The sequence below is a fragment of the Homo sapiens genome, chromosome 11, assembly GCF_000001405.40.
Source record: "Homo sapiens chromosome 11, GRCh38.p14 Primary Assembly".
In the NCBI taxonomy this organism is placed as follows: domain Eukaryota; kingdom Metazoa; phylum Chordata; class Mammalia; order Primates; family Hominidae; genus Homo; species Homo sapiens.
The window spans coordinates 97,044,812-97,059,671 of NC_000011.10; the positions used below are offsets into that span (position 1 = coordinate 97,044,812).

Sequence of the window (14,860 nt, forward strand, 5' to 3'; positions counted from 1 at the left end):
CTTGGGGGCTTTGTTCATTTCTTTTTATTCTTTTTTTCTCTAAACTTCCTTTCTCACTTCGTTTCATTCATTTCGTCTTCCATCACTGATACCCTTTCTTCCAGTTGATTGCATCGGCTCCTGAGGCTTCTGCATTCTTCATGTAGTTCTCGAGCCTTGGCTTTCAGCTCCATCAGCTCCTTTAAGCACTTCTCTGTATTGGTTATTCTAGTTATACATTCATCCAAATTTTTTTCAAAGTTTTTAACTTCTTTGCCTTTGGTTTGAATTTCCTCCTGTAGCTTGGAGTAGTTTGATCATCTGACGCCTTCTTCTCTCAACTCGTCAAAGTCATTCTCCATCCAGCTTTGTTCCATTGCTGGTGAGGAACTGCGTTCCTTTGGAGGAGGAGAGGCGCTCTGCTTTTTAGAGTTTCCAGTTTTTCTGCTCTGTTTTTTCCCCATCTTTGTGGTTTTATCTACTTTTGGTCTTTGATGATGGTGATGTACAGATGGGTTTTTGGTGTGGATGTCCTTTCTGTTTGTTAGTTTTCCTTCTAACAGACAGGACCTTCAGCTGCAGGTCTGTTGGAGTTTGCTAGAGGTCCACTCCAGACCCTGTTTGCCTGGGTAACAGCAGCGATGGCTGCAGAACAGCGGATTTTCGTGAACCGCGAATGCTGCTGTCTGATCGTGCCTCTGAAAGTTTTGTCTCAGAGGAGTACCAGACCGTGTGAGGTGTCAGTGTGCCCCTACTGGGGGGTGCCTCCCAGTTAGGCTGCTTGGGGGTCAGGGGTCAGGGACCCACTTGAGGAGGCCGTCTGCCCATTCTCAGATCTCCAGCTGTGTGCTGGGAGAACCACTGCTCTCTTCAAAGCTGTCAGACAGGGACATTTAAGTCTGCAGAGGTTCCTGCTGTCTTTTTGTTTGTCTGTGCCCTGCCCCCAGAGGTGGAGCCTACAGAGGCAGGCAGGCCTCCTTGAGCTGTGGTGCGCTCCACCCAGTTCAAGCTTCCCGGCTGCTTTGTTTACCTAAGCAAGCCTGGGCAATGGCGGGCGCTCCTCCCCCAGCCACGCTGCCACCTTGCAGTTTGATCTCAGACTGCTGTGCTAGCAATCAGTGAGACTCCGTGGGCGTAGGACCCTCTGAGCCAAGTGCGGGATATAATCTCCTGGTGCGCCGTTTTTTAAGCCCGTCAGAAAAGCGCAGTATTAGGGTGGGAGTGACCCGATTTTCCAGGTGCCGTCTGTCACCCCTTTCTTTGACTAGGAAAGGGAACTCCCTGACCCCTTGCACTTCCGGAGTGAGGCAATGCCTTGCCCTGCTTTGGCTCGCACATGGTGCGCTGCACCCACTGTCCTGCACCCACTGTCTGGCACTCCCTAGTGAGATGAACCCGGTACCTCAGATGGAAATGCAGAAATCACCTGTCTTCTGCGCCACTCACGCTGGGAGCTGTAGACCGGAGCTGTTCCTATTCGGCCATCTTCCTACTACTTGTATTCCATAAATGATTCCTCAACCTGAGCTTTCTTGATGTTTCCTCATCATTAGATTCACATTATTTATTTCTTGCTGGAATAATACTTAGGTGAAGTCGTGCACTTCTCAGAAAATCACATTTGGGGGCACATGGCATTCATTTGTTTCACTGGTTATATCAGTTTTCAATACCCCGACAAGGGGATGTCTCATTTCTCTACTGTATAATGTAGTACATTTTCCCTTGCAAATAATAAGCAATTTGTGAGAAACACTTTTAAGGCATGAAAATATTCTGTGCTCACTGGCTCACTGAAATTTCCCCCAAAGCTTATCATCCATTGATGATTCTTAAATTAACAAAATTTTACTATATGTTTGCAAAAGGATAATTTTCCCATTATGGCATGTGCATCACATTTATTAGCTGGAACTTAACCACCTCCCATTTACAAGTTTATTTATGTATTTGTGTATGTATGTACATACATATTTAACTGTTAATGATTGGTTTGGGTGCATAGATTTCTATTTTTTCAATTGTTTTTAATTATTACACTTAATAATCTTGGTGTTCAGAGTTTTCCAGATCTAAACAGTGGATCCCCTTTAAGCTAGTACTTGTATCCCTGTCACATGTCCTCATCATTTTTTTTGAGAGCTTCTTAATTATGACATAGTAGCCCTGAAAATGTTTTTCCTTTAAGTGGGGAATATGATTTAAAAAATCATGATCTCTGAGTTGCTAGATATGTGTATTGTTAATGAATATTTCTGTTTATAGTGGTCAGAGATAGGGAATACATGCATACATGTGTATGACCATATATTTATATATCTATATCTACATCTATACACATATGTATGCATATATATGTATGTGTACATATATACACATATGTACATGTAAATACACACTCAAATGCATACATTTGAAACCATAAGCTTACACCAGTATCTCTAAATTTAATTCCTTTCCACAAGGTTCTTTCTTCCCCTATTTTATATTTTTATCTCCCTCCTTCAACTCTGGCTCCCAACATCAATACATTTACTTATTTTCTCAATTCTATAATATATCTGAAATGATTTCAAAATTGCTTTGCTCATATGACTAAAAAATAAAATGTTCTAAGAATGGCCCAGGGTTTGTTTGTAGTAGTCCCCTCCCTTCACTAACCCATACTGCCCAAGATTGATAACAATCACCCAGCCAAAGAATGCCCTTATAAATTACTTGAGTTCAATTTTTTTCCTTTTTTTCTTCAGTGTGTTTATGATACTTCTTTGAAAAGAATTCTTTGAATTAGATGAATTTGTAGACTTAATATTTTTAATGTACAATAATTTCAAAAAGATTCTCATGATCATGCAAAAAAGGTATATTCAGATAAACGTCTTTCCTTTCCATATCCATTCCACTGTTTTCTCCTGCACCCTTGCATATAATAAATTTCATTGTTTTTCGGTTTATCTTTTCTATATTTCTTTTTGGAAAGATAAGCAAATGTATATATATTTTCTTTTCTTTTCCTCTAATTTTTAGACAGAGTCTTGCTTTGTCACCCAGGCTGGAGTGCAGTGGAGCGATCTCAGCTCACTGTAACCTCTGCCTCCCAAGTTCAAGCAATTCTCCAGACTCAGCCTCCTGAGTGGCTGGGATTACAGATGCCTGCCACCACACGTGGCTAATTTTTATGTTTTTAGTAGAGATGAGGTTTCAGCATGTTGGTCAGTCTGGTCTCAAACTTCTGACCTCAAGCAATCCACCCACCTCGGCATCCCAAAGTACTGGGATTACAGGCATGAGCCACTGTGCCTGGCTCTATATTTTCTTTTCTTTCTCTTTCTCCATCACCCTCCTCTTTTTTCTTTTTTTTTTTTTTTCTTGAGCCAGGGTCTCATCCTGTTGCTCAGGCTGGAGTCTAGTGACATGATCACAGCTCACTGCAGCCCTGAACTCCCAGGCTCAAGCAGTCCTCCTGCCTCAGCCTCCTGAGTAGCTGGAACTACAAGCACATGCCACCATGCCTGGTAAGGCTAGTGTACTAATATAAATCACTTCACACTTTACTTTTTAAATTTTACAATATCTCTTGGAAATCCCTTCAGAGTTGTTCATAGAATTGTTCCTCATTTTATTTTTTAAAAGTCTTTATGGTATCAGTTTGTTTGTAGGTACCATAGTTCATTCAGTGGATCTTCTATGCTGGAATGTTTAGCTATTTTCCAACATTTTGCAGTGATCAATTATACAGAATGACTAACTTTGTGCATATGTATTTTTCTATTTTTGGAGGCGTTCCTAGTATATTCTTAGAATTGAGATTTCTGAGTCAAAAGATAAATGTGTATGCAGTTTAGTAAAAGATTGCCAAACTCCTCTCCGTATGGGTTGTATCAGTTTGCAATCCCACCAGCACTGTATGAGAGTTCATGTTTCCTTTTGTTTGCACCAACAGTGTACTATCAAGCTTTTGAATCATTGCCAATTTGGTGAGTTATGATATTATATTTACAGAAAACTTGTGAAGTAAGCGTTATTATATTTGTAACACAGATAAGGAATAATATTACATAATGTGTGAAGAGATTATATAATGTTCTAAGGCTCCATAGTAAGTAACTTGTAAAAATTAAATTTAGCCCTTCATCAGTCTTCCAAGCCTTTATTTTATTGAAAGGAAACTAGAGATTTAGTCTTTTTCGCAATTTCAAAGAAGTGTTGGTCAACATAGAATTGCATGGTAGTAGTTCATGTCAACTGAAAAATAAAGACACTAGTTTCCAAGAAAAAACAGGAAGTCATTCTTAATATGTCAAAGATTATAAAAATTGGTAATTTGAAGGGGAGGAAGCAGAGGCTTAGTGATGATAATAGAAACATAAAAATAATAAAAGTAGATTGGCCATATAATTAATTGTTCATCCATGATCGCTTTGAGACTAAAGGAGGACTAATAGAATATTTAAAATGATACTCATATAGTTCTAATATTTTGAAATATTTATTGACCAACATATTTATATGTCAATGGACATATAATTCTATTCAACAAGTACTTTCAAAAATAAAATTATTTCTAAAATATAAAAATAGCATAAATCCAAGCATTTTATAGTGAGTAAAAAGGTTTTCTATTGATTATCTGAACATTAAAAGTAACAGAAACAGTATAGTTAATTTTTGATGTATATTTACATATTTTATAAGTATATTAACTTATGAAATGTCTCTAATACCATGTTACATATTTTTTTCTAAAGACTGTATTTATCAACCTGATATTTTAATTTTATTTTGTGGGTGCAAAAGTAATTGCTGTTTTTGCCATTACTTTTAGTGGCAAAAACCACAATTACTTTTGCAACAACCTAATACATTTAACAAAATTGCCTGCATTATTTTTATGCAAAAAGCAGTTAATAAATACATTTGAAATTGTTGATACCGTCAACTGACCACTGTCTGTCTATGTTAATATTTCAAAGCGAGGAAACACAATGTATTCAGTAAGCTCAGAACAAATTCTGCCAGATAAAAAAATTCTTAATTGTAATGTTTTAAATTGAAATGTGTAAATATAGTGGTTCAAATATTTTCACAGGTATTTTCTTGCCTTATTTCAGAACAACTTTCCTAATTATTTTTTTAAAGGACAAAACACATCAAATGTGTTGTCTCTATTTATGACTGTTTTGAATATTTTACTAAGTATAGATATTCTAAAATAATAGATCTCAGTTTCATTCTAGTTGTGTAGAATATAAAGGAGTCTTTCCAAAAGTTGACATACCCAAAGCCTACTTATACAATTGAGCTCTCATTATTTAATTTTCCTTTTATAAGAACAAATTTTATTGCCTTTTTATTTGCAAATATAGTTATCAATAATTTGAAGTGGCTAAGAGCTTCAAATGTTGAACTTTTGTGACATTCTATTTGTTGAATATTTTACAGATTTATCATTGATTTCTAACAAAATAAACTAACATATTGAATTAATTACGCACCCCAATCCTATACCATTGTAGAACACCTAGACTGATTTATAAAGTGGTCATTTAAAGGTTAAGCATTTCTAAAATCCTATTGATTAAGGACAGTAAGTAAAAGTACTTTTTAAAATTTGTATTCAATTTCTTGATGATCATCAAAATTTTGTAGTTGTTTTGGTATACGTAAAATTTATCAACTATAGCATCTTTTTAGTTGGATAGGCTGTCAGAACTTGTTTGGATGTAACACTGAATTAGGTATATTTTACAAAGACTTTGAAGTCTATTTCTGTCACATAGGTTTGTTAATTTAGACAAAACATTGGATTTACCATGATGCTGTATTCCACCGATATGTATATTTGCATTATACTATTTAAAGTATTTTTATCTTCAATAATGATCATTTTAACTTAATTTACAATAGCACTTACTGGCATAAAAACAGAAATATCGACCAATGGATCAGAATAGAGAACCTACTAATAATCCACATGTCTATAGCCAAATTATTTTTGATAAAAGCATCAAGAACATACACTGGAGAAATGACAGTCTCTTCGAAAAATGGTACTTGTAAGACTGTATATTCATATGCATAAGAAGGAAACTAGATCCCAACGTCTTACCTTAGACAAAACTCAACTGAAAATAGATGAAAGATCTAAATGTAAGACCCAAAACTATAAATCTCCTAGAAGAAAACATACGGGAAATTCCTTAGGACCTTGGTTTGGGAAGAGATTTTATGAATAAGACCTCAAAAGCACAGGCAACAAAAATAAAAATAAACCAATGGGATTACATCAAACACAAAGCTTCTGCAGAGCCAAGGAAACAATAACAGAGTGAAACAAAAACCTACATAATGGAAGAAAATATTTGCAAACCATTGACCTGATGGGACATTAATATCCAGAATATACAGGGAATTCAAACATCTCAACAGCAAAAAATAAGAGAGTCAAATTAAAAAATTGACCAATGATCTGAGCAGACATTTCTCGAAAGAATACATGCAAGTAGCCAAGAAATATATGAAAAAATGCTATCATCACTAATCATCAGGAAAATGCAAATCAAAAATAAAATGAGGTGTCATCTTAGTCCAGTTAGGATGGCTATTACTTAAAAAAATAACAAATACTGGAGAGGACGTAAAGGAAGGAGAACTCTTATACACTGTTTGTGGAAATGTAAAATAGTATAACCATTATGAAGAACACTATGAAGTTTCTCAAAAATCTACAAATAGATTTACCATATTATCAAGCAATCCCACTACTGGACATGTATCCAAAGGACAGAAAATCAGTACATTGAAGAGACATCTGCACACCCATGTTTACTGCAGCACCATTCAAATAGCCAAGGTCCAGAATCAACCTAGGTTTCTAACAACAGATGAATGGATAAAGAAAATTTGGTGTATTTATACAATGGAATACTATTCAGCCACACAAAGGAATAAAATCCTGTCATTCATAGCAATATTAATGGAACTGGAGGACGTTATATTAAGTGAAACAAGGCAGGAACAGAAAGTTAAACATCACATGTTCTCACTTATATGTGAAAGCTAAGAAGAGCATGCACAGAAGTACAAAGAGGATACTAGAGGCTGGAAATGTTAGCGGGGAGGAGGAATAGGAAGAGATTTGTTAAATGAGATAAAATTGAAGCTACATGGGAGGAGTAAGTTCTACTGTTCTATAGCACTGTAGTGTGACTAGAGTTAACAGTAATATATTATACATTTTCTAAGAGCTAGAAGGAGGCTATTGAATGTTCCATAACAAAGAAATGATAAATATTTCTGAAATGATGAATATGTTAATTACCTTGAAATGATCACTGTACATCACATATATTGCAACATCACTCTGTAATCCATAAGTATGTACAATTATTACATGTCAGTTACAAAATTTGTTTAAGCTGGAAGAAAAAATATCAGTTTGAATAAGCTTTCAAAAGCCTTATTTTGATTTTTTGATGTGCATAAAAATATTGAACATTTATAGTCATAATTTATACTCTCATTTCAAGCATTTGATAACACTAAAATGCTAACACTGGCATCACCCACCTATCTTGAAAATTCTCCTTCTGCTAAAGGAGCCAGTGCATTAAGAGCTATCATTTTGTTTTTCAAACATACACAAAAATACTTGGAATAAATAAAATAGTAAAGTCGATTTCCATCAAATAAAAAATGCTTCACCAAATAATATATAAATGTACCTTCTGCACATGCCCATGGGGCTTATCTTTTTCACATCCTTCTTATAATACTAACTTTTGAACTTTATACTGATACTTCTTCAGCAGAATTATATCTTCTCATAGCCATATGTCAGTGATTTTGCTGCAGTCTTCATGGCGGGGCAGTAAATTTCAACGTGTTTGAATTTTATACCTTTATTGTCAGGTTCCTTGAGAAATTGAAATTCAGTTCATTTCTAAAACAGAGTTTTAATTCAAATAAAAATTTAGTTCATTCCTGCCATCAGAGTTGCCTGTAAAATAAAAACAGGTATTTAAAATACTAAGACATATAGTTAAATATTTCAATGAATCCAGGAGCTGGTTTTTTGAAAAGATCAACAAAATTGATAGACCGCTAGCAAAACTAATAAAGAAGAAAAGAGAGAAGAATCAAATAGATGCAATAAAAAAAGATAAAGGGGATATCACCACCAATCCCACAGAAATACAAACTACCATCAGAGAATACCATAAACACCTCTACGCAAATAAACTAGAAAATCTAGAAGAAATGGATACATTCCTCGACACATACACCCTCCCAAGACTAAACCAGGAAGAAGTTGAATCTCTGAATAGACCCAATAACAGGCTCTGAAATTGAGGCAATAATTAATAGCTTACCAACCAAAAAAAGGCCAGGACCAGAGGGATTCACAGCCGAATTCTACCAGAGGTACAAGGAGGAGCTGATACCATTCCTTCTGAAACTATTCCAATCAATAGAAAAAGAGAGAATCCTCCCTAACTCATTTTATGAGGCCAGCATCATGCTGATACCAAAGCCTGGCAGAGACACAACAAAAAAAGAGAATTTTAGACCAATATCCCTGATGAACATTGATGCAAAAATCCTCAATAAAATACTGGCAAACCGAATCCAGCAGCACATCAAAAAGCTTATCCACCATGATCAAGTGGGCTTCATCACTGGGATGCAAGGCTGGTTCAACATATGCAAATCGATAAACATAATCCAGCATATAAACAGAACCAACGACAAAAACCACATGATTATCTCAACAGATGCAGAAAAGGCCTTTGACAAAATTCCACAATGCTTCATGCTAAAAACTCTCAATAACTTAGGTATCTCAAAATAATAAGAGCTATCTATGACAAACCCACAGCCAATATCATACTGAATGGGCAAAAACTGGAAGCATTCCCTTTGAAAACTGGCACAAGACAGGGATGCCCTCTCTCACCAGTCCTATTCAACATAGTGTTGGAAGTTCTGGCCAGGGCAATCAGGCAGGAGAAGGAAATAAAGGGCATTCAATTAGGAAAAGAGGAAGTCAAATTGTCCCTGTTTGCAGATGACATGATAGTATATCTAGAAAACCCCATAGTCTCAGTGCAAAATCTCCTTAAGCTGACAGGCAACTTCAGGAAAGTCTCAGGGTACAAAATCAATGTGCAAAAATCACAGCATTCCTCTACACCAATAACAGACAAACAGAGAGCCAAATCATGAGTGAACTCCCATTCACAATTGCTTCAAAGAGAATAAAATACCTAGGAATCCAACTTACAAGGGATGTGAAGGACCGCTTCAAGGACAAACTACAAACCACTGCTCAATGAAATAAAAGAGGAAACAAACAAATGGAAGAACATTCCATGCTCATGGGTAGGAAGAATCAATATCGTGAAAATGGCCATACTGCCCAAGGTAATTTATAGATTCAATGCCATCCCCATCAAGCTACCAATGACTTTCTTCACAGAATTGGAAAAAACTGCTTTAAAGTTCATATGGAACCAAAAAAGAGCCCGCATCGCCAAGTCAATCCTAAGCCAAAAGAACAAAGCTGGAGGCATCCCATTACCTGACTTCAAACTATACTACAAGGCTACAGTAACCAAAACAGCGTGGTACTGGTACCAAAACAGAGATATAGACCAATGGAACAGAACAGAGCCCTCAGAAATAACTCGGCATATCTACAGCTATCTGATCTTTGACAAACCTAAGAAAAACAAGCAATGGGGAAAGGATTCCCTATTTAATAAATGGTGCTGGGAAAACTGGCTATCCATATGTAGAAAGCTGAAACTGGATCCCTTCCTTACACCTTATACAAAAATTAATTCAAGATGGATTAAAGACTTAAATGTTAGACCTAAAACCATAAAAACCCTAGAAGAAAACCTAGGCATTACCATTCAGGACATAGGCATGGGCAAGGACTTCATGACTAAAACACCAAAAGCAATGGCAACAAGAGCCAAAATTGACAAATGGGATCTAATTAAACTAAAGAGCTTCTGCACAGCAAAAGAAACTACCATCACAGTGAACAGGCAACCTACAGAATGGGAGAAAATTTTTGCAATCTGCTTATCTGACAAAGGGCTAATATACAGAATCTACGAAGAACTCAAACAAATTTACAAGAAAAAAACAACCCCATCAAAAAGTGGATGAAGGATATGAACAGACACTTCTCAAAAGAAGACATTTATGCAGCCAAAAGACACATGAAAAATGCTCATCATCACTGGCCATCAGAGAAATGCAAATCAAAACCACAATGAGTTACCATCTCACACCAGTTAGAATGGCGATCATTAAAAAGTCAGGAAACAACAGGTGCTGGAGAGGATGTGGAGAAATAGGAACACTTTTACACTGTTGGTGGGACTGTAAACTAGTTCAACCATTGTGGAAGTCAGTGTGGTGATTCCTCAGGGATCTAGAACTAGAAATACCATTTGACCCAGCCATCCCATTACTGGATATATACCCAAAGGATTATAAAACATACTGTTATAAAGACACATGCACACATATGTTTATTGAGGCACTATTCACCATAGCAAAGACTTGGAACCAAGCCAAATGTCCAACAATGATAGACTGGATTAAGAAAATGTGGCACATATACACCATGGAAAACTATGCAGCCATGAAAAATGATGAGTTCATGTCCTTTGTAGGGACATGGATGAAGCTGGAAAACATCATTCTCAGCAAACTATCACAAGGACAAAAAACCAAACCCTGCATGTTCTCACTCATAGGTGGAAATTGAACAATGAGAACACATGGACGCAGGAAGGGGAACATCACACTCTGGGGCCTGTTGTGGGGTGGGGGGAGCGGGGAGGGATAGCCTTAGGAGATATACCTAATGCTAAATGATGAGTTAATGGGTGCAGCACACCAAAATGGCACAGGTATACATACGTAACAAACCTGCACGTTGTGCACAGGTACCCTAAAACTTATAGTATAATAAAAAAATTAAGTAAAATACAATATATGGTAAGAACACATATAGCCAAAATGTTCAGACTATTCTTTCTATGCAGTCTAAATACTGAATATCTTTTTCCTTCTCATATTTCACTTATAAATAGCTGACAGCTTACTACAGTTTTCACTAAAAAAGCCATCTCGTGGCTTTGCAATATTGCACAGGACATGGCACAACTGATTATTAATGAAGTAATTGGCAGGTGCAACAGCATTGAATATTTTTCCACTACTGCCAGAAACTAGATGGAGTCAGCTATTCCTAGTTATTCCTGCTTGCGGATATTTTGCTTCACTCAGTAGGACTCTCCATTTGTCCTCCAATTGAAGTATTTTTTATGTTGTATCTGTTAGAGTTGTCTAAGGCACCTTTGATATTTCAAACGTGTTGAAGAGATAATTTTCTTAATTACAGGTTTCTGAAAGTAAAGAGACCAAACAAATCCCAATTTATGTTAATGCTTGATAGCAACCATTCATTTAAAGGAAAACTCCAGAACTATTATTGAGTGGCATGGGATGCTGGAACAACTGGTATTAATTGAATCTGTCCCTGGCAAATTAGGATATATGGTCACTATAAATGTAAACATCAATATAAATACCACCTCACTCTCGCCTTCTAGTGACTATAAGGAGTATATAAAAAATAAATCCACAAGTGCACTATATACAGATTAATATACATCAAACCATTCATTTATTCAAAATTCACTAGGCATGATTATACAATTATATGGATATTAATGAGATATTATTCTTGTGGTTGTTTTAAAATGTATTCAGAAATTATTCATTGCTCTTTTTTTCAATGGTGAGAGTCTAATCCTCCTCCACTTGACTTTGGGCTATACTTAATAACTCATTTCTAACAAAGAAAGTATGTCAGAATTGATGATATATGACTTCTGGGGCTTTGTAATAAAAGCATTTTAGCTTCCTTCTTGCTCTCTCCCTCTTGGGTCACTCATCCTGAGGGAAGCTACCCGTAATGTTGAAGAACACTCAAGCAGCTTAACAAGTAACTGAGCACTATCCCTAACAACCAGTGAGGAACTGGAACCTCCTGTCCATAGCCATGCACATGAGCCAAGTTGAAGATGAATCCTGATGACTGCAGCTGTGGTCAAATTTTGACTAAAACATTCATAAAAAACCAAGTCAAAGCATATAGCTAAGCTACTCCCTAATTGCTGACCAACAGATGTTTATTGCCTTAAGATACTAAATTTTAGGGTAATTTATTATACAGCAATAAATAACTAATAATGTTTTCAACTTAGAGGAACTTAAAAGCTGGTAGGAGCAATTGTATATAAACATAAGTGACTAAAATGTAACACAAAGTGTAAAAAGCCTTCAACTTTAGAGAAAAAAGGGAAATTTATTCTCAATAGCAGATCAGGGAAGGCTTTATGGAAAAAGTTTGAGTTGAAGTTGAAGAAAGTTAGGATGTTGAGAGGAAGAAATATCAATAGGGATTATTATTGGTGATGCAAAGATCTAAGCAATGTCAGAGGCAGGAAAGTGTAGGACTAGATTTAGGTAATTATGACTATTTTACTTCGATTGAAATTTAGAATATATGTGGTAAAAGATAATATTATTGATAGAGGTTGAAGTCAGCTTCTATAAAGCTATGACTGTAAAGACATTTGAATATTATTTAATCTTCATTTTATACATTTCAGGGAATAATCATTACAGATAAAGCAGTTTTTTCAAAGTAAGTTCTTGAAATTAGAGTTGCTTAACTCCAAATCTCTAATCTCTTAAGTGTTTTCCCAACAGCCTTTATCAGATTAGCACAGTTTAGCAGGCTGTGGCAGCATTAGGAATTATTAATCTTGTGGAGTAACCTCAGATATGAATCTAGGACTTAGTACATCTGTCCATCTGAGTAGCATATATAAAAAGACATATTTCCCAGGAAAAAATAGCATTACTTGGGTGCTAATCAGGAAATATAAATATATAACATCTAAGAAAAAATATGCCAAATCATCTTGACACAAAGAAACACATATTACCAGGGAGGGGAGCAAATAAAAAATAACATTTATATAAAACCTGTTACATACCAGACAATGTCTGGTACCAGGAGATAAAAAAATCTTTAAAATTATTGGGAGTAAGGCATGTAATTAAAAATAACGATTAATGAAATGTATAGATATTCTGAGAAGTACAATATAGATAGAGACTAATCAAATTAATTTTAAAAAGAATAATTGAATTAATCATAATTAAGTAGAGAAATACAAATAGCCAAGAAAAAATGTATCTTTGAAGAGGTCTTTAGAAGATGATGGGTGGACTTGTCAGCTGTGTTATTTTTACTAGTATTAGCTTTCCATGATAATATTGATTTTGGGGAGAATAATTGAGACTTGTTATTTGCACCTAGCAATTCCTAATGTATTTTATCCCTATTATAGGTACTATTGATTCTTGATTAGCTGCTAGGAAATCTAAAATTAGAAAAAAAATACCGGTTATTATAGGTTAAAGAGTTTCTATGTTCTAGATTAATGTTCTATTTTATTACCTCAGAAATAAAATATTTTATAGAAAGTTGTATTGGATGTAATCAGGTAGGACAAAGATACTCTGGGATAAAGTTAAGGCAAAAAAGACTCCCTAACTTCACCCCTCTCAAATTGTATGTAAAAAATACCGATTTAGGAAAAGAAATACCAATTGTGTGTTCATTTCTGAATAGAATGAAGTAGTTTTGGCTATCTCAGCATTCCTGCTGAGATCAATTTAAGGACTCCGAATTAATGGAAAAATCATATAATGGAAGGAATCAGAGAGCTGGAAAATCATTCAAAATTAGAAAAACTTAGATTTTCAAGAAAGGAGTATCTCAGAGTAGTTAGCTAATATTCGCAATCAACTTTTTATTTGGAAACGTTTTATAATTTGGGGTATGACTAAGAAGCTTAAAATATAGATTTATCGTGGGAGAAGCCCACTGCTGGGAGAACATTTCAGCCTTAGTCAATATTAGAGTGACAAAAATTGAAGGCTTGTGTTTCCTCATACACATAGCTATTTCGCTCAAGCCATTTGCTGAATTAGGAATCTATATGTGTGAGGGATGCCAGAAACTAAGGGAAAAACATGAAGAGTAGAGCATCTTCCAATTCAGATAAGTATGTGTTGGGGGAAGAGCCCATGGTTAAGGACAAGTTTCTCAGTTAAAAATTCTGAAGTGCTAGCTTTAGGAAGAGCGGTAAACCAGAGGTAGATTAATTTTTAATACACTTTGATGTGAGCATCCTAGAATTTCAGCTCTGTATTCCTAATCGGATTAAGATGATTAATTTCCTATTCTATAAGCATAGGAAAAAATGTAAATATTCTCTCACAGATGATGTCATAATCTCAAGCCTTTGAATGATTTATACAACATTATCTAGAAAATAATTTAAAAATTACAAGACATGTCAATAGAAAAGATCATATGACTGGACAGTAAAAAGAAACATAAAAACACATCTTAGGAATAGGTACATAAATGATCTGAATAATAGAGATCGCTGATGACAGTATTAAATAATTATCATTAGTAATTCCATGAATATAGAGAGACAGAAAATTTGAAAGTAAAGAAAATACTAAAATTCTAACTAAATATAGCTGGTTATTGTATTTATATTTATTTTATAAACATTTATATAACATGTGTATTATAATTATAATGGTTCTTACACTTATATTTAAATTAATCAAACTTATATAAGTAAAACTTTAGCTTCTCCATTTAATTAGCCACACTTCAAGTTCTCAATAGCCACCTGTGACTATTGGCTACCATATTGACTGCACAGATACAAAATATTTCAAAAAGACCAAAAGAATAGCA

The 14,860-nt window shown here is 35.2% G+C and overlaps 1 annotated feature.

Moving 5' to 3' along the window:
- Positions 520–1,021: an enhancer, noted in NCBI's record as "NANOG-H3K4me1 hESC enhancer chr11:96916331-96916832 (GRCh37/hg19 assembly coordinates)". NCBI's record gives its function as "activates a minimal SCP1, AML or CMV promoter by ChIP-STARR-seq in primed H9 embryonic stem cells {active_cell/tissue: H9 hESC(primed)}" and the evidence as "EXISTENCE:reporter gene assay evidence [ECO:0000049][PMID:30033119]".